This window comes from Homo sapiens, chromosome 16, assembly GCF_000001405.40.
Source record: "Homo sapiens chromosome 16, GRCh38.p14 Primary Assembly".
Classification (NCBI taxonomy): Eukaryota; Metazoa; Chordata; class Mammalia; order Primates; family Hominidae; genus Homo; species Homo sapiens.
This window is the reverse complement of record NC_000016.10, coordinates 59916262-59943583: the sequence shown is the minus strand read 5'-3', so window position 1 is coordinate 59943583 and position 27322 is coordinate 59916262. Positions and strand designations below refer to the sequence as shown.

Genomic DNA, 27322 nt, shown 5'->3' with positions numbered 1-27322 from the left:
CCTGCCCTGACTACTTTTTAAAGATTACGACACCTCTATATCCATCCTGAACCCACCACCTTGGCATTTTAGTCCCAATTATCTACTTGGCTTCCCTCCCTTGTTCTTACCTCCCTATAGCTTAATATGTAATATGTAATTTTCTTATGTGATTTATTTTCTATCTTCCAACCAAAGAGAGAATTTATTTTTCTTTTACTTTTTTTTTTTTATTTTTTTTAACTGCTGCATCCAAACTGCCTTGATTAGTGCTAGGTACAACAAATATAAATATTTTTCAAATCAATGAATGAAGAATACATGGATATTTATAAACATCTGAAAAGTAAGGGCATAGATTACTAGCGTAAGTTCTCCTGAAATGGCAACTTAATCTTCATGGTTAAAAATGCAGCAGAACGTTAAGTATTCAGCTCTGTCAGGTCTGGAGAAAACATATCTTTCCAAGGACAATTTTAGTACTAGCTGATGCCACCCCTGGAATCCCAGGATAAAGGGTGCCTGCCATGTTGAGATAAGCTACATTTATGCCTGCCATTTGGGGACACCTCCATTCTGAAGAGTCTTTGTATTCTTTTTTTTTTTTTTTTTGAGACGGAGTCTCACTCTGTCTCCCAGGCTGGAGTGCAGTGGCGCGATCTCGGCTCACTGCAAGCTCTGCCTCCCGGGTTCACGCCATTCTCGGTCTCAGCCTCCCAAGTAGCTGGGACTACAGGCGCCCGCCACCACGCCCGGCTAATTTGTTTGTTTGTTTGTTTGTATTTTTAGTAGAGATGGGATTTCACCGTATTAGCCAGGATGGTCTCGATCTCCTGACCTCGTGATCCACCTGCCTCAGCCTCCCAAAGTGCTGGGATTACAGGCGTGAGCCACCGGAGTCTTTGTATTCTTAACTAGGTAAGTAGGTATTAGTAATTTAGCCTTACCTAGGTGAGTGTGTGTGCGTGCCTCTAACCAAAGTATTATCACAAGGATGCCTTAGTGGTAGTAAAATTATTAAATCAATTAATTTAAAAGAACTATTTATAACAAGTTACCATCTAGATAGGTTAAAATCCATGGAGATTTGTACTAAAGACTCATATGTAGAAAACTCTTCTCAGATGATGTAGATTACTTGGCAGGAAATGAGCTAGGGATTCTGCTGTCAATAGGAGAAAAAAAGAAACAAAACAGATCTCATTCAGTAGAGAATGGCTCATTTGGGATACTCAGAACTTACCACATAAACAGTATTATGCAGGTTAGTGTTTGGATACCCTTCTTTCAAAAGATGATTAAAGTGATAAAAATAAAATGGAAAGATGATTTATTAAGACAAAGTGTCAAATAAGCCTAACCCCTTGCACCACTTACTTCCTCAGTCTCCATATAGCTCTATTGTTCCTAAGAACATTATATATCTTCGAGAAGTTTGAACGCTAATACAAATGTTTTTCACAAAATTAGATTATGTTTCTTTACTAGATATTGTCTTTTTTTTAATTTTTGAGATAAGTTTATCATCATTATAATAGCTAATGTATTTGTGAAATTAGAATGATATATTTCCGGTCTTTATAACATTAATACAATCTTCAAAAATATTAACGCTTTGTCTATTCAATTCCTCACTAGTTCTCAAAGCCCAGGTTTTGTTATTTCTCATAAAGAAACCAAAATCCTGTGGTTCAGTCCTGGATTTACACAGCCCAAATGACAGGATACTGAAGCAAGCAAGAGAGAGAAGCTGATCACTCATCCACTCCATCATCACCATGCTCTTAAAGCTCTCTGTGTTTTTCATTTCACATCGTGTATCAGTAAAAATGTGGCAATGACAAGGTAATGGAAGGATGATTAGCTTTAATGTACTCCCTTTCATGTTTGTAGTTAGAGCAAATATGAACTAATTTATACCCTCAGCTATTTTTCTTTTCTGTGTATATTGTAACAAATATGAAAATTGCTGGTGTAAGTGCAATCGATCAATTGAGATAAATGCAAGTCGAGTTCAATGACTCTTTAACAAATTTTCATAAGGCAACCTTTCTTGGTAAAAACTGTTAGTAATTTTTATGCCACCATTAAGACTGTAGATTCCTGGGAACTCCAGGTTCTGGTAGACAACATGGATTTTTTGATTAAACAAGTGACTCAAATAGCAGCAAATCAAAATAGCAAACAAACAAACAATTGGGTGGCATAGAACAAAGAAATCACAGAGCTTGCATTTGATTTTAAAGATGCATTTTAGTTTATAAACAGAACAGTTAGTCAATATTTTTGAGGATTTGGACAATCATAAGATTGTGCAGCCAGTAAGTTCTGAATAACTCTAAATGAAATACACCTACAAATTATTCACTATTCTATTTGGGGTTTTATTTCTCCATGCTCTTTAAATAGTATGAAATGCAAACAGAATGACTAATAGAAACTTCATAAAGTTTAATAATATATTTAATATATTAACAATAAAGGTACCAAGTTCATTTTGAAGGTATATGCAAATATAAATTGGCTCAAGGTTTCCACTAATAGAAATTATATATATGTATATTTCCCTAAAAAATCTAATTTAAGGCAGATATATCGATATAGGGCTTTGTTAGAACTCCATGTTTTGTTAAAGTAATAAACATTAAACAACATTTTGTGAGGTCTCTAATGTTAACCTTGAATGATAGAATGATGAGGGCAAGAATAAGCTATCAATAACACAAAGTTTCATTTGAAAAATCTCATATTTTTAGATACTATTTCACTTTGTGATACGATGTGTTGGAATAAAAAAAAGGATGGAAAGTTTATTGTCCTTCCAAGAATAACAGACATTTATATTTTGGAAAGATGAGTTGTCTTTCAAACTTCACCAAGGAATTATAAAGAGTTATGTCAGAACATGGCATGTAAATTGAGGTGTGTATCTAATATAAAAACCATTCTACTGAAACTAATTTCCCAATGCAACATTCTAGGAAATGGTAATAAATATCCTGTTTTGGTTTAGGGAGAAAATAAGGGGAAATTTGGAAATAAAGATGTATTATAAAACTTTTCTTGATTTTTTTCCTGATTTAATAATGTATTCTAATTTTATTATCATTAAAATATATACTTTTATGTTTATGAATAATTGAAAACCAAAGCCTTAGATACCTAAGGTTTGGATTAGATACCTAATCCAAACACATATACCATCTAGAAACATACAAAACTCAAAAGCACTTAGAGATACCTCAACAAATAATAGTCCTTGCTTAATTTCTCATACTTTGCTCAAATAGCTAAAAATGAACATAGAATTTTCAGCTCCAACATCTGAAGATTTTGGAAGTCAACGCTCACAAACCTACAAGACAAAGTTAGTCAAACTTATAATCAATGACGTTTCTTGGACCTATCAAAGATGTGACATTGCAGGAAAAAATACCACCCCAATTTCTGGAAAGACAGGTACATCCAGAAAGACATAGCTGAGATTTGTTTACATGGAGCAGAAGCCACTGAAGGCACAAACTGGTAGAAACATTTCCATGGTAATTTTGACAAATTGCTAGAGGCTGACCATGGAGTAGAGTGAGTGAGAAGCTCCTGGTGGCTGCAGTCTTGGAGGGATACACTTTTATAGAATTTATCCCAAGAAACTCCACTAGGTTCTCACAGTGAAGATCTGAGGAAGATAATCACAGGGCTCTGGCAAGACGAGGAAAGACCAGTCATGTGACACACACACACCAAGTCTTCCTTATAACAAAGGCCAAATCTCCAAGGATTAAATATTTTCCCAGAGCCTTATCTCACTTAGAAAAAGGAAGTTTGTCCTACTTTATCCCTATCTTGCATTTTTGTCTCACCTATGGTGAAGAAAAAGAAACAACATAGTCAACAGGACTCAGAACTTCAAGGAGATAGACTGGGAATCCTGCACACAAGAAAGGGATGGCATGGTGAGGAGAGAATGCTATGACACTGAATGCTTGCAAAGGTCATAGACCCAAGATATAGCCCCAATAAAATCCTGAGATTTTATTGTAAGATTGTGGAATAGCCCCCTTTCCCCACCTCTGACCACATGCCACCTTAGACTGGTTTCCTAATTTATAAAGAACAGAAATGTATCTCTTAAACAGTTCTGAAAGCTGAAATGTCCAGGATCAAGGAGCCAGCAGATTCTGTGTCTGCTAAGAGCTCACTCTCTGCTTCCAAGATAGCACCATTTTGCTGTGTCCTCAAATGGCAGATGAGATAGAAGGGCAAGAAAGAGATGAACTCTTTTCCTAATGCCCTTTTATAAGGACACCAATTCCATATATGAGAGCAGAGCCCTCAGGGCTTAATCACCTGTCAAGGGCATCACCTCAATACTATTATCTTGGGTATTAAATTCCAACATATGCGTTTTGGAGGGACACGTACATTCAAACCATAATGGCAATAATAGTAGCAAAATATTGCATGTGAATAAGTGAAATGAACAGCATTAATGTCACAATGAATAAGAGGGAAGAATTGGGAATACTAAGTGCAGGATAACTTTTAAATATATTTTGTCTTTAGCCCATATTTCTGGCACAGAGCTCCTAAAATCTTGGAATTTTCTGAGTGATAGGGGTTATCTTTTGTTATTCATAACAAGCCCCTTAATATTGTTGATGCCAATTTTTCCCTACTTGATCTCTAGATTCAACGAAATCTCAATCACAATCCCAGCATGCTATTTAGAGATTCTGAAGTTTACATGGAAAGAAAAAGACCCAGTGTAGCCAACACAATACTAAAGAATAGAAAAGATGGAATAGTCACACTACTATATTTCAAAACTTACTATGAAGCTATAGTAATCAAAACAGCATGGCGTTGGCAAAAGAATAAATAAATGAAACAGTAAAAATCTCATAACTACATCTATATAAATATAGTCAACTTATTTTTCTCAAGGACACAAAGGAAACTCAATTGAGAAAGGCTAAACTTTTCAAGAAATGATTCTACAACAATAGAATGTCCAAATTAAAAAAAAAAAAGAACCTAGAAAACACAGGCCTTACACCTTACCCAGAAAATTAACTAAAAATGGATCATAAACCTAATGTGTAGGTATAACATTTGTAGAAGAAAAAATAGAAAATTTATAAGATCATGGGTTTAGTGATGAGTTTTTAGATATAACATCTAAAGCACAATAAATACAAAAAATTATAAGCCCATCTTGAAATTTAAACTTTTAAATTTTTAAATTTTCTGCTGTGTGAATGACACTTTTATAAAAAGACAAGCCACAGACTGGGAGAAAATACTTGTGAATACATAACTGATAAAGATCTTCTATCCAAAATATATAAAAACTCTTAAAACTAAGAAAACCACCCAATTTAAAAATAAGCAAAATATCTGAAGATACCTTGCTAAAGAAAATGTATAGACAGCAAGTAAACAAATAAAAAGATATTCAACATCTTTTGTTATTAGAGAAATGCAGATTATAACAAATGAGATACTACTATGTGACTACTAGAAAGAGAAAAATCTTTAAAAAATGACAATCAATTGCTGGTGAGGATGCAGAACAACGAAAGAAGATCTCATTCATTGCTAGCAGGAATGCAAATGATGTAGCCACTTTGGAAGACAGTCTGACAGTTTCTTATAAATCTAAATATTGTCTTACCATACAATCCTGGATTCATGCCCCTGGTATTACCCAACTGCTTTAAAATTTATGTCCACAGAAGAACCAGTATGCAAGTGTTTAGAGATACTTTATGATAATTATAAAAAACTAAAAGCAATCCAGATGCCCTTTAATATGTGAATGGATTAACAATCTATGGTACATTCATGCAATGGTATATTTCATTGATAAAAAGGGATGTGCAATCAAATCACTCAAAGACCTGGATGAATTTTAAATGCATATTGCTAATAATAATGTATGGAGATATTTATATGCTCTTCTAGCGAAAGCAAAACAATAAAGATGGTAAAGAGATCAGCTGCTGGCATAGATTAGAAGGTGAGGGGAGAATATGAGAAGCACAGGATAACGTTCAAAGTGCTGAAACTATTCTGTACAATAATGTAATACTGAATACATGACACTAAACTCCTCAAACCCATAGAACTATACAGTAAGAGTGAATACCATACATATACATATAAATAGTGAGATTGGGGATCCCAAAATGGAAGGCAGGATGTGATGAAAAAATCTTATTGTTTTACAACTATATGAAACAGTTTTACTTAAGGTGTTGAGGAAATAAAGTACTAACAACTTTGGAATCGAAAGTAATATGTAAGGGTAAAGACAAAAGAAATTATATATAAGTGTGGCATTATAGTCAGTAAAGTTGTTCCCCACACGAGTATGTGTTAACAATTCTGAAATCATTATACACATATAATGAAACTGAAAAATTACCTAAATGATGGCAGATGGTGAGAGTTTTCTTACTGTTGGAGCAGAAAGTAACAAATAAGAGGATAATGCTAGAATGATCCATGTAGTAATAAATTAGAGTTGGTGACTCAGCAGTGATACGAATGCAGTTTAACAGATCAGTTTAGCAGTGATATATCAGTTTAGTGGTGATACATATCGTTAAAATTACAAATATATATAGGCATGCATATATATATGGGCTAGTGTAATCACCTATCGTTGCTCTGTTGGCTAAGAAATCCTAGAAAAAACAATCCAGTAGCAATGAGCTCACTAAGTACCCAGATCTTGGTTACTAATGCCATATTGAAATAAAAGGAATGTGGCTCCTTGAAGAAATGGCTTATTCTAGAACTAGGTTAGAAAATATAGTAGATGGAGCATCTTATAGGGCTAGAAAATAAACAAAATGCTAAAAACAAAACAAAACACAAAAACCCATAATGAAGGAGTTGCATTAAAGGGACATTGTAGTAAAGTGGAAGAGCTACCAATGGCCAAATTCGAGCAACACAATAAATAAAGAAGTAATAACTATAACCTAATACATAAAACAAGTATCCATGAGTCTTTACTGACATAAATAAATGATTGAAAACAAACAAATAAATTGAAAAGAACAGAAATATCTTTGATCCAAACAAATATATTGATCCAAATACTTTGTGGAGATACTTCACCCTGAAAGAAACAAGTATAACTTTCCACTCCTAAGTGGAAACTGTATATAATGACTTCCTCCCAAAAAGAAGAGTGTGGAAAGAGAATAGAAAAGTGTAACTTTATAGTGAAGAAATAAGACAAGCATTACCTCAGCCAAAGTGATCAAGGTCAACATCGACTGTGATAAGTCATGTTGATACTATGTATTGTGATTTGATGATAGGATTTGGTATCATCTAATGATAATAATATGATTTGATAATAATGCCATTTTACCTGTGTGATCATCCTCCTTAAAACCTGTAAGTACCATCTAATTGTGATAAAAAACATCAATCAAATCTTATTTGAGTGGCAGTCTACAAAATACCTAACCATTACCTATGAAAACTGTCAAGGTCTTCAAAAATAAGAAAAGTCAAAGAAACTTTTGCAATTCAGAGGATGCTATAGAGACTAAGTGCAATGTGGTATCCAGAGTGGACTCCTATAACAAAAAAGGCCTCAGAAAACCACTAAGGAAATATTAATTAAATATGGATTTTAATTCATAATAAAGCATTAATATTGTCTCATTTATTATGACAAACTATACAAATGTAAGTTAGAAGATACTGAGTTTGGGTAATAAAGGATCTCTCTGTACTGTTTTTGTAATTTTTCTATAAATCTAAAACTTTTATAAATAAAAAGTTTATTTGAAAAAGAATGTAGCATTGTATCTGAGTTTTAACCAATATTAAACAATAATAACAACAATAAAAACAAAAGCACCACAGTGACAGTGGCAGAAAACCAACTTTATGATCCAGATTGAGTTTGTCTTGAAGAAACAATACTTTTCTTTCATAGTTACAAACATTGCTAATACAACATGCACCTCATTTTCATTTAGTGTTTGGGCCTATTTAGTTTGGGGACAAAAATGTTGACATAAATAAATGTGATCCTAAGATATACAGAAGAGTGAACTATGGGACTTGGCATTTCTTCAAAAAAGTTGTACAAATGGCCAACAGATATATGAAAAGATTTTCAATGTTACTAATCATCAGGGAAATGCTAATCAAAACAGCAATGAAATATCACTTCATATTGGTTAGGATGGCTAGCACACACACAAAAATAACATAAAGACAACAAGTGTCGGTGAGGATGTGAAGAAATTGGAACCCATATACACCATTGATGGGAATGCAAAATGGTGCAGGTGCTTTGGAAAACAGTATGGATGTTCCTTAATGAATTAAAAATAAAACTACCATACGATCCAGTAGTCCCACTTCTTGGTATTTATCTAATAGAATTGAAATCAAGATCTCAAAGGGATATTAGCACTCTCATGATCCTTGCAACAGTATTTGCAATGGCCAATATGGGGAAACAAGTAAGTGTCCACTGATGGATAAATAAAGAAAATGTGGCATATACATAAAATGGAATATTCTTCAGCGTTAAAAAAGAAGGAAATCCTGTAATATGTGACAACATGGATTAACTTTGAGAACATTGTGCTAAGTGAAACAAGCTAGTCACGGAAGAACAAATACTGCATGATTCCATTTATGAGAGTTATCTAAAAGAGCCAAGCTTATAGAAATAGAGAATTGTGGTTGTCAAGAGCTAGGGGGAGCAGAAAATGAATAGTTGCTAATCTATCTGTAGAAAGCTTCAGTTATGCAACATGTAGTTCTGAAGCTCTGTTGTATTGCATTGTGCCTGTAGATAATAATTCTGTATTGCACACTTAAAAATCTTTTAAAGGTAAAGTTAGGTATTCTTATTATGCTAAAATAATGTTTAAGAAAAGTATAAAATATGCTCTGTGGCATTGTACACTCAATTCACCAGATGGATAAATATTTTTTTCTTAGAAATATATATTTAAATGTGTTAAACAGGTATTTCAGCACCTAAATGAATTTTACAGATATTTGAAATGACAAAGCATTACTTAATGTAAATTTCAGCTACATTTTATTCCTAAGTACATCAGTCTTTATCATGGTTTACAAAGTATTTCTGGTTCCCCATTTAATCTAACAGTAGGATTGTGTTTCTCTACTTCATGAAGTTAATATGGCCATATGACTTTCAATGACCAATGTAACCTGGATGGAAACAATGTGTTTGACTTCTAAGTGGAATGCAAAATTTCCCATATTTAATGTTTCTGCCTTTGCAATCATGAGAGCATAGCCAGACATCGAAATTACTTTATGGTGGGTCTCTGAATGAGGGTGTTGTAGAACTAATAAGCCCATCAACTACCCTGTGCAGTTAATGTACTATGAACAAGAAGTAAACCTGTGTCATTTTAACCTACTGACATTTTTAGGGCTGTTTGTTATGACAGCATAATATAACCTATTCTGACTAATTACATTTGTTATTACATTTATATCTTTTTCTAAAAAAGAAGAAACATATAGCTCATATTTTCCAAAGCCACATGAGAATGAATAAAATATCAAATATTGAATGCATATAATTTAACATGGAATGATATGATATGCTCTTTTCCTTCAAAAAAAATCATTTCACCAGATTAGAGGGCATGTAACAGTCATCTGTCAACAAGTTGTCACTTCACTCATGTTAAAAGAAAGTTACTTTTTAAAATCCTTTGATTTAAAATGTTTCATTATTAATTTTACCCAGAATCCTATCTGCCATGCTGTTATGACACCAATCAAAAATTAAAAAATTATACTGATCAAAAATAGAGATATGATAACTTGACAGCTGAAGGCATTTACCTTTTAAGACTGATAAAAGTTCAAAAAGTTGAAAAGTACATTTGAAAAAAGGCACACTCTCTACAATAAATATCACATTTCTGAAAGAGAATTCACATTGCTGTTTGCACACTAGATATGCCAATATAAATCACATTTGAATGAAATAAGACCATATGAATTGGAAATGTCTGTTTCCAGTCCCTTTACTGTCAGGTGAATCTGTATGACAAGCTCTGCCAATAAAATGTGAGTAAAATTGATATATATTATTTTGATGTATGAGGAACTATAAAGCTTATGCTCAATTTCTTAGAATCCTTTCCCAGCTCTGCAATCAAAGAAACAACATGTTTTAGGTAGGGCAGGTGAAATATGGCAGCATCTTTGTCAGTGCTGCACTATTTCTTGTGTTTCCTTTATACTCTGCTAATACCTTAGTGAATTACCTCTCTATGAAACATTCCTTGAATTACACTAATTTAAATATCCAATCTGTTACTTGCTGGGCCCCTGACTGATACCGAATTAGGCAAGGTCCAAGAGTTTTATGTAGAAAACAACCCCCCATATTCACCAATCTATGATAAATATATAACTTTAAGAAGAAATATATCTGATATATTAAGCCACTAAAATGTGGGGATTATTTGTTAAGACTCTATAAACCTAACCTATCCTGACAAATACACATATCAAACTAGATAATGAATGATTCATATGCACCTGCTCTTCTAAGAAATTCTCCCAGGAGAAACTGATAAGAGAGTGGACATTGAAGAAAGAAAAACAAAAAGGGGATAGAATTTTAGGATGCTGGATACTAAATAGGTCTGCTAAAAAAGAAAAAAATAATAATTTTAGGATGCATTATCCTGATTTATCAGAGGGAGCTCTGGAATAGAAGTGACATCTCAGAGTTTGTGTGCAAATGAGATGAGAGTTTCAGCTTCATAATGAGCATTCCTTGATAATTATAAGGTTTTTTAAATACCTCTGTGTGTGGGCAAAGACTCTATCTTAGGTTGTTTTCTGCTATATTTGCAAAATATACGGAAACAGACATTTATTTGGTTCCATAGGCTGCCAGCATCTGGTGAGGGTCATTCCATGGCCAGAAGCATCACATGGTGAGAGCACAAGCACAAAAGAGAAAATCAGAACAAATATATACTTTTTATCAGAAATCCACTTCCACAGTAAGTAACCAACTCCTGCAATAATGGCATTAATTCAATTGTGAAGATGAACCCCTCAGAACATAATCATCTCTTAAACATGCTGCCTCTCAACTGTTACACTGGGGATTAAATTTCTAACACATGAGCTTTCAGGGAATGCATTCAAACCACAGCAGGCTCAAAGGGTAGTTTTCAAAAAATGTGCTCAAAAACAGGTAAGGGTAAAAGGAGCCTAATGGAGTTTGGTATATAATAGCATAAGCAGTGTCTGCTAGAAAAACTTGCAAAACACAGCACTTCATCATTCAACATTAGTTATTATAGTATATCACATATAATTAGAAGGAGGAAGATCAATGTTTATATTTATAAATATCACAAAAAATTAAAATAGATGGCCTCAACAAGCTTTCCATTTTAAATTATATAAACTGGGAAAAATGCACTATTAATTCACTTCTTATATTTTAAGTTACTTTCTCCGAATATTGAAGGGAGAACAGTATCTGGTACTTTATATCCAAGAAATGTTATTATTTCTTTAAAGAAATGTTCACTGTGGGACTACTATATGCCATGGGGAATACAACAATAAATATAACAAATTCTAGTTCTTTCAACAGCTTACATTCTAATGGTAGAGACAAAAAATATAAACAAATAAAGCTATAATACATCACTACATGGTAAATAGTGTTATTCAGAAAATATTAGCAGGAAAAGAGGATAGCCAGTAAAAAGGAGTGGTTCTTTTAGATAGTGAGGTCATAGTAAGTTGCTATAACCAAATAACTTTACTTCAGGAACCTTAGTGAATTGAGGGAATGAGTCTTGAAAATTTGTAAGAGAAAAGTATTCCAGGTAGAAGATGTACAAAGTAAATGTTCCCAGAGCCTCAAGCTGTTTTATTATGCTAGAAGACAATGAAGGCCAGTGTTCTGGTTATGGCTAATGGAGGGAGAAAGGAAATATTGGAAAATACGATTGAAGAGATAACTAAGGCCAGATGATATAGAGTTCTGTAGGCCAAGGTAAGATTTGTGTGTGTGTGTGTGTGTGTGTGTGTGTGTGTGTGTGTGTGTGTGTGTGTGTGTGTTTTGTTATTGTTTTTACTTTTTGTTTTGATTCAGTGAAGCCATTAAAAGATCATGAACACATGTGTGCCATTAATTCTAGACATGAACAAGGAACAAGGACTGAACTTAATCTCTCACTGTAAACAGCTAGAAAACTATATATATAATGTAAAACAAATGTTTTTGCACATTGGAAAGCAGGTAGCACATTTTCCAATGTGCTATGGAGCATATGATCCCTGAAAGAAAGGAAAAATGAGTTGAGTCCTACATTTGCCCTTGACTTCTAGACTGGATGCTTTATCTAGGCTGTAGTGCAGAGAGGGGAAACACAAACAGAACCAGGCAGTCTCACTGAATTCAGTACATGGAGACCAGAATTCAGCGAGGCTTAGCTGGCTAAAAGTAGCAGGGAAACATTCTAGAAAGAAAGAAGTATGCAGTAACAAGAAATCTATAGAAGGGTTTCTTTAAGTCTCTACTTAATACTTGCTTATATATGCATAATATGAAACTCTACAAGTCTTAGACAAAAATATCATAAAGTTGTAAGATAAAAATTTGGCAAATTTCACACCAGGCAAGGAGTTGTTTAAAGTCTAACCAGCCAGAAGGTATTGTCCTTGGTGATCAGCCAGGACATTTGGTGGAAGCTTCAGCAGAGTCCTATTTTTTAATTATGGCTTAATTATCCCAGGAGTAAAGACTACCCCAGATATACACTACAAAAACTTAAAACAGGCCTCAAAGTCATAAATTCTATCCAAAATAATTTAATTGCCAAGTTAACTGCCAAACAGTAGCATAAGATTAATAAGGCCCAATCTCTAATCAAAATATTCATACATGCCAAGAAGCAAGAAAAAGTAATGCATTACCAACAAAAAATATTTAATAAAAATAAACAAAGAAATAATGGAAATAATGAAAGAAAATGATATTAAGATAGCTATTATAACTATAAACAAGCATTTAATTAAAAATATGAAGAAATGAGAGAAATTGATAATATAAAAAAATGTTACTTCCATAGAGTAAAACAATAATATCTAAAATTAAGACACTATTAGATGTGATAAATAGCAGATTAGACACTGTAAAATAAAAATAATGATGAACTTCAAAGCATAGCAATAGAATCAAACCAAAAGAAGGAGAAAACAAAAGATTAGAAAGAATAAAAAGAGTTTTCATGATGTGCAAGTTATATTCAATAGCCTAATACATATAAATGGTCTCCTAGAGAGAACAGGGAGACTAAAAAGACATAAAAATATCTGAAAAAGTTGTGGCTGAAAATGTTTCAAATTTGATAAAAATTATAAGGCCATGGATCTACAAAGCTCAATGAAGTCAAACAGAATAAACACATACACAAACATGTCTGGCCATTACATGCGAATTAAATTGCTGAAAATAATCAATGAAGAGAAATATATCAAAAGCCACCTAATACCCCAGAGTCAGATCCGCAGACCTTAGTTCACTGTGTATCCTGAAGCAGCCTTGCAACTCAGTTCCATCAACTCTCAGCCATGGTGCAGGGCCTGTCCTGCCCACTTAAGGACCCACAAAATGACTTGGTGAGAATCCTGTCATGGACCAGGTGTGAGTTATCCATGTATGTGCTAGGAAACAGGCCCATCATCTGAAGACCTAACTGTAGACCACAAAATAGATCTGTGTCCTAGCACCAGCTTTACTGGCTAAGATCCTGAAGGAAGTCCCATCTTCCCAGGAACCAAGAAAGATCCATGCTGCCCGAGTCCCTGGTAACAGGCCCACCAACACTGAACCCCACTGCAGACTCAGTGACAGCCATGTAACCTGCCTTTAACTCTTCTTGTCAGAGATTGCAGAGGCAATCCCATTAGCCTTGGGACCTGAGAGACAAAAAAAAAAACTTCACCTTCCAAAACCAGTCTTTAAGGATTAAAAGATGTTTGCTCCTTCAAAAGTACAGACACTGATGTAAGGCCACACATCATGAAGAACCTGATAAACGTGATATCACCAAAGCAAGCTATTAAAGCCTCAGTATTTGACCCTAAAGAAATGGAAATCTGTGAATTACCTGACAAATAATTCAAAATAATTATCTTTAAAAGGCTCAGTGAGATGCAAGAGAACACAAATAGACAAATAAACAAAATCAGAAAAATAATACATCAAGTACAAGAAGTTTGATACAGAAATAGCAACCCTGAAAGAGAACCAAACAGAAATACTGGGGATGAATAATACAATGAATGAACTAAAAAGTACAATAGAGAACTTCAATAGTAGTAGATAGGATCAGGAAAAAAATAAACAGTGAACTCAAAGACAAGTCATTTAATATTAGCCAGTGGGAGCAACAACAACAACAACAACAACAACAAGAATGAAGAAACATAAGGAGCTTATTGAACAACATACAACATACCAGGACTTAATCATGAAGAAATCATTACCAATAATAAGTAAGGAGAGTGAATTGATAATCAAAAATCTCTCATCAAACAAAGAATATAGTCTGATGTCTTCCATGGCTGAATTCTACCAAACATTTAAATAATATAAATTTTTCTCAAATTCTTACGAAAAATTGAAGAGGAGAGAACACTTTCAAATTTGTTTTACAAGGCCAGTATTACCCTGTTGACAAAGTCAGATAAGGACACTGTAAGAAAAGAACATTATAGCTAATATTCCTTCTAAACATAGACACAAATATTCTCAATAAAATGGTAGCAAATTAAATTCAACAGCACATTAAAGGATCATTTGCCATGATCAAATGGGATTTATCCCTAGAATGCAAGGATGGCACAACATTTGCAAATCAATAAACACAATATACCACATTAATTTAATAAAGGTAAAAATCATATGATCATCTCAATATGTGCAGAAACATTTGCCAATATTCAAGATCCTTTTATAATAAAAACACTCAACAAATTAGGTATAGAAGAAATGCACCTCAACATAACAAAGACCATATATGATAAATCCATAGCTAACATCATACTCAATGGTGAAAAGCCAAAGGATGTCCCCTCTCACTACTTCTATTTAACATATTATTGAAGGTTCTAGTCAGAGCAATTAATCAGGAAAAAATAATTAAAATATCTCCTTACTTATTATCTAAATTGTAAAGGCAGAAGTAAAATTGACATGCTCTTTGAATAAATGAATTATAGCAAAGTCATAAGGAAAGAAATTAACTTTCAAAAATGAGTATCCTTTCTCTATGCTGACAACAAACTATGAGAAAAAATAAATTATAGAAATGTCCCATCTACAATAGCATCAAAAGCAATAAAGGACTTAAGAATAAATTGAAACAATTATGTGAAAGATCTATACACCAAAATATAAGACACTGATGAAATAAATTGAAGAAGACAAATCCATGAAAAAAATCCTATTCTTATATAATGGAAGAATTATTGTAAAAATATCCATACTACCTAAAGCAATCCACAGGTTTAATTCAATCCCTATCAAAAATTTAATGACTTTTTTCACAGAAATTTTAAAAAATCTTAAAAATCATAAGGAACCACAAAAGACCCTGAATAATAAAAGCAATATTAAGTAAAAAAAAAAAACAAATTTGAAGGAATCATCTTTCAGATTTTAAATTACATTACGAAGATATAGTAATCAAGACAGTATGGTACTGGCATATAAATGGACACATAGACTAATGGAACAGAGAGCCTAGAAATAAATTCACACATATAATGCACATATAGGGGATGGTAGGGGAAAGAGGAGATATTGGTCAAAGAGTACAAACTTTGTTATAAGATGAGAAAGTTTCCCAGCAAGCACATGTACAGCATACTAGGAATAACACAGCAAGGATACAGCTTGTCTGCCAACTGTGGCCCCTGCCTGAGTGAGTCCTGTGGACTAGAACACTCAACAAAGGAAACAGGGGCATGGAGACAGCAATAAATGGTGAAGGGATAACTGTTTAGCCATATGCAGAAGATTGAAACTTTCTTTACACCTTATACAAAAGTCTTTCTTATACCACACACAAAAATCAACTCAAGATGGATTAAAGACTTAAATGTAAAACCTACAACTATAAAAACTGTAAAAACCTACAAGTAAAACATAACCTAGGTATTACAATTCTGGACATAAGACCTGGCAAAAATTTCATAAGAAGGAAGCCAAAACAGTTGCAACAAAAACAAAAATTGACAAATGGGACATAATTAAAGAGCTTCTGCACAGCCAAAGAAACTGTCAGCAGAGTAAACAAACCTACAGGATGGCAGAAAATTTTTGCATACTATGAATCTGACAAAGGCCTAATATCCAAAATCTGTAAGGAACTTAAACAAATTTACAAGCAAAAAACAAATAAGCCCATTCAAAAGTGAACAAAGGACATGAACAGACACTTTTCAAAAGAAGACTTACATGCAGCCAACAAGCATACAAAAAAATGCCCAACATCACTAATAATTAGAGAAATGCAAATCCAAACCACAATGAGATACCATCTCACACCAGTCACAATGGCTATTATTAAAGTTTGTGAAAAAAAGGAATGCATATACACTGTTAGTGGGAATATAAATTAGTTCAGCCATTGTGGAAAGCAATTTGGCAATTTCTCAAAGAACTTAAAACACAAATAGCATTTGATCTAGCCATTATTGGGTATACACACAAAGGAATATAAATCATCTGTCATAAAGACACATGCACATGTATGTTAATCACATAATTATTTACAATAGCAAAGTCATGGAATCAACCTGTGTCCATCAATGGTAAACTGGAAGAAAATATGGTATATATACCATGAAATACTATGTAGCCATAAAAAATAAAATCATGTTCTTTACAGCAATATGGATGGAGTTGGAGGTCATTATTCTAAGCAAACTAATGCAGGAACAGAAAACCAAATACTGCATGTTATCACTTATAAGTGGGAGGTAAACATTAAATTAATAGGCACACAAAGAAAAGAACAACAGATACCAGGGCCTAGTTGAGGTTGGAGTGTGGGAGGTGGGTGAGGATCAAAAAACTACCTGTTTCAGTGTATGCTTATTACCTGGTTGAATAAATAACCTGTATACCAAACCCCTGCAACATGAAATTTACCTGAATACCAAACCTGCACATGTATTCCTGAACTTAAAACAAAAGTTTAAAAAAATGAGGAAGTTCTGAGGCTCTAACACAGAGTATAATGACTATACTACTGCAGCTTTATAAGTTCTTAAAGGTAACACCTCTATTTCAGGTTTTTAAATATTTTAATCCATTCATCTATTAATGGACATTTGAGTTGCTTCTAGTTTTGGGCTATTACAAATAAAGCTGCCATGAACATTCATGTACATTTTTTTTGTATGGGACATTTACTTTTATTTCCCTTAGATAAATAATAATCAATGGGATGGTTATATGATAAGGTAGATACATGTTCAAATTTCTAAGAAATTGCCAAATTTTTGTATTATTTTTCATTCCCTTTATAGTATATGAGAGTTCTACTTCCTCCACATACTATATAACACCAGGTATGGTTAATATCTTTTCAATTTTAATATTTCTAATAGGTGTATAGTAATATCTCTTTGTGATTCTTATTTGCATTTCTTTCATGGGTAATGATGTTGAACATCTTTTTATGTGCTTATGTGTCATCCTGTGTCTTCCATGGTGAAATGTCAGATCAAATCTGTTTTCCGTTTTTTATTTTCTGGTCATTTGTTTTGCTTTCTATGTTATTTGGTTTGGAAATGTCTTTAGATGGTCCAGACAAAGTCTAAATAATCGAGTATATAATTTAAAAATATTTCCCCTAATCTATAGCTTGTATCTTAATGAGCATGGCAGTGTCTTTTGAAAATAAGTTTTTAACTTTAAGTCCAACTTATTTTTTTATTTATACAGAGCATGTTTTTGATATTGTGTCCAAGAAATCTTTGACTAACCTAAGGTTTCAAAAAATTTTCTCTTGTATTTTTGTCTGGAAGTTTTATAGTTTTAGGAGTAAATAAATTTGGTAAGATTCAGATCAAAGTTGAAATTTTTGGCATATGGATATCCAATTACTCTAACACTATTTGTTGAAAAGACTTTTTTTTAATCTATTAAATTGACTTTGCAACTCTTCCAAAATCAATTTTCCATATATGTGTGGATCATTTCCTGGACTATTTAATCCATTTAATTGATCTGTTTGTCTATCATGATAGCAATACCATACTGTCCTGATTACTCTAGCTTTTTAATATATATTTAAATTGGGTGGTGGTAGTTCTCCAAATTTATTCTTTTATTTTTTAAAGTTGTTTGCCATCTTTAATTATTTGCACTTCCATATAAATGCTAAAGTCAGCTTCTTAATCTCTCCAATAGTGCCTGCAAGGACTTTGTTTATGTTGAAACTATTAATCAGTTTCAAAAAAATTTATCATCACAACCTCAACTCTTCAGACTAAAGAACATCTCCACCTTTATTTAAATTATTCTTTAGTTTCTTTCTCAAAAGTGCTTTTAGTTTTTAGTATACACTTTTGTTAGATTTATCCATATTTCATATTTTTGATGCTACTTTACATAGTATTGTTTCCTAATTTTATTTTCTAATAGTTTTTACTAGTATATAGAAAAATAGACTTTTTAATATTGATCTTGTATCCTGTGATATTTACCTATTCCCTTATTATTTGTAGCAAGGTTTTTTTGGTAGATTTGATAAGATTTTCTATACAAACACTGATGCAATCTACCAGAAAAACATAATTTTAGTTTTTTATGTATTTATGCTTTATTGCACTGGAGAGAACATTCAAAACAATGTTGAATACAATAAGTGGTAGGTAGAGGCGTCATGTCTTGTTTCTAACCTAAGAGACAAAGAGTTCAACTTTTCACCACTAAGTATATTAACTGTAAGTTTGTTTTAGATGACTGTTATCAGCTTGAAGGAAGTTTCATTCTATTCCTAGTTTTCTGAGAGTCATTGTCAGCAGTGGTGTTGGGTTTTGATAAGCAGTGGTGTTGAGTTTTGATAAACATTTTGGGGCATTATATTGAGATAATCATATAAAATTTTTTTAATTGGGTAAATATAATAAATTACATTTGTTGTATTTTGAATGTTAAACCAAACTTGCTTTACTAGAATATACTCCAGTACAATATTTTAATCTTAGAAATTTTGTTTTTATATTATCCATTCTCTATATACAGTTTTGAAATGATAATACCGTTACATTGTTCATACATGCTTATCATAATACCTGCGTCATTTCTGGATCAGTTTTTGTCGATATTTTTGCATTACTGTGAGTCGTATTTTTCCATCTTTACATATCTGTTTATTTTTTATGGGATGTCAGATATTGTAATTTTTATGTATAATTGCCTATAATTTACATTCCTATAAATATTCGTGAGTTTTTGTTCTGGGATACATTTTAGTACAGCAAACAGTTTGATTTGTTTGAGATCATGATTTTTCTTTTGTTAGTTTTGTTTTGAAGTTTTGTTAGGTGGAAACAGATCAGTGGTGAAGATAGGGCTAGTTACTCTCCCACTATTAAGGGAAGTACCTGTAGATAATTTGACCTAATGCCTCATGAATTATGAGATTTTCCATTTTGGCTGGTGAAAATAAGTACTCTTCTTGATGCTGTGTGAGCCCTCAGTAACATTTTCTCTAATCTTTTTAGGTTATTCCTTCCTCACACATGCACAGATAAATACTGTCTTGCTGCAAAAAGAACATCAGAATTCTCACTTCATAGCTGTCCTATTTCTGTAACTTGTCCTGTGAAATCTATTGCCTTAATCTATTTTCTCTTACTATAACAGAATGACACAGACTGAGTAATTTATAAAGAAAAGAAGTTTATTTGGCTCATGGTTCTGAAGGCTGCGAAGTTCAAGGTCCTGGTGGCATTTTCTGATGAGGACTTTTGTACCGCATCAAAACATGGTAGGAAAGCTGAAGGGCAGGTGAATGTGTGCAAAACAGAGCAAAACACAAAGGGTGACCTCCTTTTGTAATAGTTCACTCTTGTGGTAATTAAACCAGGTGATGAGAGCAAGTACTCACTTTCACAAGAATTAACCTAGTCCAGTGAGAGTGGTATTAATCTTTCTTAATTACCTAATCACCTCTCAGAGTCTCCATCTCTCAACACTGCCACACAAGGGGACCAAGTTTTCAACATGTGAATTCTGGAAGACCCATTCAAGCCATAGCACATATCCACACCTATCCATCTTGGTCTTTATGGACTCTTAGCTCCCTCTCCTCAACTCTTCTGGGAGACAGCAAGGAGTTTGAGACCACTCTCCCTGAATTCTGCCCCTGCTAACACTGGAAACTGTCTTGATATAATAAGATAGGGCAATTGCCTGGCTCATTTCTTTCCCATCACTAGAGATTCTTCTTTGCTGTCTGATGTTCAATGTTTTAAAAACCATTTGACTCATTCTATCCTACTTTTTTTTAGTTTTTCAGATGGAAAGGTAAATTCAGTCCCTGATACTCTAGGGCAACTTTACAACTCTTTCAAGTATTCCTTTTCTAATGGCTTTCCTTCTCTTCTCTCTCAGCTCTAGGGCTGGTTATGGTGCATTATTACTAGCTATGAAGTTCTGGAAACAGTTCCTTCATTTAACTCTCCTCAAGTTGCCAAATTCACATTTCATCTAGTTTTTGCTTTACTTCGCTTTACAAGAAGAGGTGGAATCTCACAAGCAAGTGAAAAGCTTGTTTTCACAATGAAAACGAAATTACTACCAACCACCACAACCACAATAAATGCAAACATTGTTCATCTATTGTCATACAGAAAAATATACATCATGTGGATTAAGATTAGGATGGGTTGATAGATTTATTGGTATAAATAAAAGGCAGTCCTTTATAGTTATAAAAAAAAAGGCAGTGCTTAACTTTCCTTAATGAAATAAGAGCAAGATTATTAATTGTGAGAAAGAAAAGGGACAGCAAAGGTTTGAGAAACATGTTGATGTCTAAAATAACCATCAGAGAAAATGCTAAAATAGTTTTATTATAGCAGGAAAATGTAGGACACTATATATACAGTGATACCTAAAGTATGAACATCCAAAGTCCCTTTTTTCATGATTTGTGAATTTCTAATACAAGAGATCTTTAAGAATTTAAGTCACAGCTGGAAATCCTGAGAAAAACAATATTTGATGGTTGGTCACATCATGATTGAATTACATTTTTTTCTCTAGATGATGAAAGTGAAAAGACCAGCAAGTCATCCATGACCCTAAACGTTTGGCTTTCTAGTACTTTGCTTCACCCACTGTATTCTAAATACGTTGACTTTTTATCCAGTTTTCTGAGCAGCATGCGAAACTTAACCCTATCCTGTTTTTGCTCATGCTGTTCCCTTTGCTTATAATGCTCTTGTCCAGGGACATGGCCTTCTAGTATTTAGTTTCCTATTCACACATCACTCCTTTATAAGAGTAACTGTCATGTAAGCAATAGGAGATGGAAGCAGAAAGAGTAATGTTAAACTGAGAGATCTTTCTTACTTCCGAACCACACTGCAGACTTGCTTATTTTTAAGAGCATATCGCTATGTTAAATTATTATTTTGTCTATTTTTCGGCCTTCTCTACAAAGGATGATATAGAATAAATCTATTTTGGCCACTACTATACTGACTTCCCATAGACGAGTGCCAGATACACGCTGGGTACTAAGCAAATAAATATGTGAAAGGAGAAGGTACAGAAAAAAAAACCTGGATTTCAATAAATGCCTCAAAAACTTTTCCTCAGTTTTTGGCCTTGGGTCACATGCATTCTGTTTTGAATCTGTATAAATTAATTTTCTTATTGGGAGTTAAAATGTTATCTAGTTTGCTCTTTGGGAAATAATAAAGTGAGATGAAATTGAGATGACATTTGGCCAATATGTCCTCTCTTGAGTTCTTCTAAGGAGATGTATACACAAGAATGAAGCAAGGCAGAGTAAAACTTTATTAGTGACTGTCATTTGTCCCCAAATCCCTATGAAGAACACTAGTGACGTAGGCAGGAACAGTTGGAAAAATCATTTTTTAATCTCCTTTGATGACCTATGTTAAACCATAATAAAGAAGGCTAACAATTGGTTTTTGTCAATTTTCACCCCAAAGAACAGACACAATTCTCAATTATTGGCATTGCAGAGAAAGAGAAAAGATTGGCCAAGAATACAACTGGTTGGGAAAATAAACATCAAAAGAAAATGTGTGTTTATGACCTAGCATCATCATAGACCATGGTTACTATTTCCTTGCTTAGCTACTATTTTGAAAGAAAAATAATTTCCTAAGAGAAGGAAACTGCACCTTCACAAACAACAAAAAAAGAGATGTCTAGGTTTTCTTTCATTGAAGCAAACTTTAACACTTTAAACAGTGGAGGGATAATAATTTGGTGAGGTATGATCAAGGTTAACAATCACATGCATCTCTCTTTCTTATGTGATACAGAGGGTAAAAAATGGCCAATTGGTGAAAAAAATAAAAGAAGAATGGCTAGAACTTCTCCCAAAGAGGTAAGGCAACAGCTTTACTCAATGTTTCTTTTAACTATGAGATCACAAAAGGACATAAGACAGAAAGTAAGAGATGATTAGTAATATGGGTCCAAGCTCCTCCCTCATAGGAAGAGGGTCTCCCTAGTTTACGTGAATAAAGCAAGAGACTGAACATAAAAACAGGCAATGGCCAAGCCATTCATGACAATGGGAAAAATTCTTACTCACAAGCTCTGCAACACCATTCCAGAAAGCCAGACCATAAGCTCTTTTTATTCCACCCAGAGTGGTTAGAACTTAGTTTTAAATCACAGCTTTCCTATTTTGCCTCTGCTTTCAATGCAGGACCAATAAAAGAAAGCTAAATATACTCAAACAAATTATTCACATCAGATGTTTCATGTCTAGTGAGTCCACCTCCAGCTTCTCTGTGCCAACAACTTCCAATCAAAGGATACCTGAAGCCTTCCATGTTTTTCACTATGAAGCTCTCCCAAACCCCTGCCAACTTCGAGTCTTTGCCAAACTCAAGTGATAGCAACTGACTCCCTGGCTATATAGCAAGCCCTGAATGAATAGCCTTTGACTGTCTTCATTTGGGTGGTCATCATTTATTTCTACAAAAGAGAGATCAAAATAGGACAACATGACCTTTATCCTCATACACAATGAAAAGTGTTAAATTGCTGTAACAGCATTTTATTTTCTAAAACAAGGTATTTCTTACCTTATTGGTAAGGACTGGTACCTTGAAAGTCCCTTAGATTTCCAATTAATCTTATAGCATAATATCTAACTTTAACCCTTGAATAATAGTAAGTTTAAAATCAAATAAATTCATACAAATAACCGTTTATGTTACTGCTCATAACAAAATGAGAGAACTCTACAGTTTTGTGTGTTGGGTTTCCTGTTTGTTTTCATTTTGTTTTGTTCGTAGGGTTTTACCATCACAAGATGAAGCAAGAAGGGATTGTGTAGAGGCTGATACAGGAGATTCTCCCACAACTTTTCAGTCTGAGCATCACTAGCTTCTCAATGAGCAAGATGCTATAAAAGGTTCAGGAGAGAAAAATATCCTCATTCCTTTGAACATAGTGCCTCTCTTATCTTCTACATCAATAGCTCCTGATCTCTAACCCCTTTGTAAAATATCGTCCAAATTCCCATCTTTTCTATTTTCTATCACATTGGGAATGAATTCGTAGGCAATTGGGTTGCATTCTAAGTGATATGGAGACAGAGGTGCAGCCTCAGATCTCGTGAGAGGAGCAATTTTAGGACAACCAAACTTTCTACTTGGGCAAAATGGGCCTCTTCTTAGCATACAGCTAGAAACTATGCTAAATGCTTTACTCACCTCATTTAATTTAATCCTCATACTAATGAAACTAAAGAGTAATGCCCTTTTAATGAAAATGTGGTTTACGTGAGAATGGAGAAGGTTTAGTGAGTTTTTATCTGTGAGACTATGAAAGAGTAGAAGAGCTGATATATGAAACCATGTATCTCCTTGACCCCTCAAAATGGTATTCTTAATCAATACACAATGCATAAAAAATATTATTGGAAAAGGGCATGTTTCAGAGACATAGGCAACACAGTAACATATTTGTTTTTCAAATTTGAATCTCAGCTTATTATTCCTTAAAGCCTTCTTCCTGAGTAGTGGTAGCATTGTTGAGGACATAGGAACCTGATAATTGAGCTTCAATTTTGGCTTAGCATGCTCTGTTTTATTCTCACTCAATGAGAAATGAATTCAATCTGATCTGTTCATTGAAACATACTGTCACATCGATTGGGAACATAGATATTATTTCAAATGTTTTGAAAAGTCCAGAACCAGATACTTAGCCCAAATTTCCTAGAAAACAAAGCCTGAGGGAAAGCTTCAGGTACAATAGTGCCTGAGTTATATCCCCAGGGCAACAGGAACAAGGTTGAAAATTTATTGGGTTTGAGAGGGGCTGAAAGCAGATACAAGTGGTACATTACTGAATTGACAAGATCAGGACTACTTCAGATGTGTAGGGAATCACTGTGCTTCCGAAAGGTCTATGGGAAGAAGTAAGAAAGAGGAATTTATCTTCCAGCTCTTTCCCAGCTCCTGGACTCCTTGGTCTAAGCTTGCCCCTCTAAGAAAGAAGAGCCCCAACCTTCCATACTCCCACAAACTGACCTCTCCAGAACGTGCAGTGCTGGGAAGAAGGCACTGGGAGACTAGGAGAAGATACATAATCTGAGTCCCATGCAGAAATTTCATGAAGTCTGTATTCAATATTCTGCCAACATTCCTGCTGATTATTTCCTAATGAATGAACAATATATGTAAACGAGATGTGTCATTTGAAAAACAAAATACAAGTGGTAGGATATATTTAACAAACTGTATCTAAAAGTTATCCATCCTAGATCTGTTTGTCATCTATTAGTTTATTTAATTAATCCCATTCATTCACTCAGCATCTACTTATTGTTAGGCTCTATTGTGGGATCTAGAATTAGTGTGGTGGACAAAATAGAAAAAAAATTCCTGTTTTTTTTAAATTTTAATTTAAATTAATTTATGTTTTTGAGACAGGGTCTCACTTTGTCACCTAGGCTGGAGTGCAGCAGTGCAATCCCAGCTCACTGTGACCTCCATCTCCCGGCTTCAAGCGATTCTGGTGCCTCAGCCTCCTGAGCAGCTGGGATTATAGGCACACACCACCACTCCTGGCTAATTTTTTTGTATTTTTAGTAGAGACAGGTTTCACCATGTTGGCCAGGGTGGTCTCAAATCCTGATCTCAAATGATCTGCCTGCCTCGGCGTCCCAAAGTGCTGGAATTACAGGTGTGAGCTACCGCACCTGGCCAAATTCCTGTTATTTAGAGCTCAAGCTATTAAGATAGCTATTAGATACTGTCATCCAGTGATAAATCTTATGAAGAGAATAAGAGAGTGCAATGCACAGAAGGGGAGGAACAGAGTTAATTTAGATGGGTTTTGAGTCCTTAATGATAAGAAGGAGAGAGTCAAGCTAAATTGGGGGCATGGGCAGAGATGAATAGTTTTCGAGGGGGATCAAACCACAGGTGCAAAAATTCTATGGTGCCACGAACCTGGTGTGTTTGAAGAAAAAAATAATAGAAGGCCTTTTTAAGATTCTCCATTTTTCATTCTTTTTGCTAGCTGAGATGTGTAAAGTTTATATGGAAAATGATATCTACAGATACATTTCTAAGAATGTTATTGGGGGATGAAGGGAGCAGGTTGTGGAGTGCAGAGTATTCCTTTATTACCTCTAAAAGGATAGCTGTGATATAAATGCAGGAGAAATCTCAAAAATACATCCATGGCTCCTAGAAGAAAAGTTATGCTAGGGTAAACCTTAATCAGCCATGAAGAGTGGCTAATTTCCAACCTCAGGGGTTTTAGTGAATAAAAAGTTACATGTTCATGAAAAAAGAAGAAAATTTTGGCCTTGGTCATATAACAGATTTCTGACACAAAATTGACCTTGTACCTAGAGGGTAAAACTTTGAAGCATAAGTCTTGTTCAATATTTAAACCAAAAGCCAATCTGAATGCATTTCTTTAAACATAAATTTTTAATTCAAAAGATAAATGCAAATTAAATATATCCACAGAGGAATGCATTCAAGTTACTTTATTTCACTTGCAGAATTTTGTGTTTTGTTTTGTTCATTGATTCTCAAGCAACACCTAGAAGGAAAGCTGGAAATGAATGAAGAGAAGGAAGAGACGTACAGCTGCACTGGCTTGCCTCTCAGTAAGATTACAGATGCTTGCATGAATTCATGACAGATAATTATGTTCTATATATCACACTGACTTTTGTTACAGTGGTACTACCAAGTTCTGGCGAAGGTGAGGTACATTTGTTCTATCATTCACTGATAAAATAAGTATATTCATTCTTAAAATCAGCATCTATCAAGAGCTTTCAAAACCAGTATTTAATCTGGTAATACTAAATTAACTAGCTTTAACTTTTAAGAAAAAAATAGATTTGTAAGAATATTTTTCTCAATATGTTAATGATAACAAAATATAGCAAAGTTTAAAAAAATTAAAATAGAAAGGAAATACAAGAAATGTACAAAAAGCAGAATCTTTAAATAAATTATGACATAGGCAAGGGTGGAAAATTAGATAGATTATCTGTCGAAAACAAAATTGTTATTGACATGAGAAAACACAATTCAATATTAAGGAGGAAAATCAGATGCAATAGCTATTGTATTACAGAGCTTTACATGTTCACCAAATTTCATGCTCTCTCTTCTGCAGAATGAGGTTGTCATTGGTAAATAATTGTTGAACCAGTTACTACATTTCCTAGCTCCTCTTACCTCTATATGTGTCCATGAGACTTTTGATTGTGAATGGAAGATGAGAAGAATTGATGTGTGCCATTCTCAGCCAAGGCTTTTTTAAAGAAGAGAGAGAATGTGTCTCCTCCACGTTTTTGTTTGTTTGTTTGGTTTTGTTCTTACCCATATCTTGCACAGAAGCATTAAATAACTACAATGCCCTAGAGAATGGCAGATGGGTAAGATGAAAGGAGCCAGGTCCAGGCAGCACTCCACAGAATAGGTCTCCCCGAGACACAGAAGAGTGCCACTTGTATGCAAAGCCAAAATAAACCTCTATTGTGTTTGAATCTTTATG

The 27322-nt window shown here is 33.9% G+C and overlaps 2 long non-coding RNA genes across 4 annotated transcripts in view; one reads left to right on the top strand and one right to left on the bottom strand.

The window, feature by feature from the left end:
* Positions 1-27322, bottom strand: part of LINC02141 (long intergenic non-protein coding RNA 2141) — a 198621-nt gene that overhangs the window by 110390 nt on the left and 60909 nt on the right. The gene's annotated exons all lie outside the window — the stretch shown is intronic.
* On the top strand, positions 810-27322 carry LOC105371300 (uncharacterized). Of its 3 annotated transcripts, none has more exons than XR_933649.1 (8): positions 810-897; positions 1618-1824; positions 2736-2901; positions 17590-17631; positions 19937-20060; positions 22597-22661; positions 26348-26518; positions 26942-27322. It is a non-coding gene; the product is annotated as an uncharacterized LOC105371300 (long non-coding RNA). The 3 variants fall into 3 exon arrangements; XR_933648.1 differs by having other exon boundaries at positions 26313-26518; XR_933650.1 differs by lacking the exons at positions 810-897; positions 1618-1824; positions 2736-2901 and adding an exon at positions 10936-11027 and having other exon boundaries at positions 26313-26518.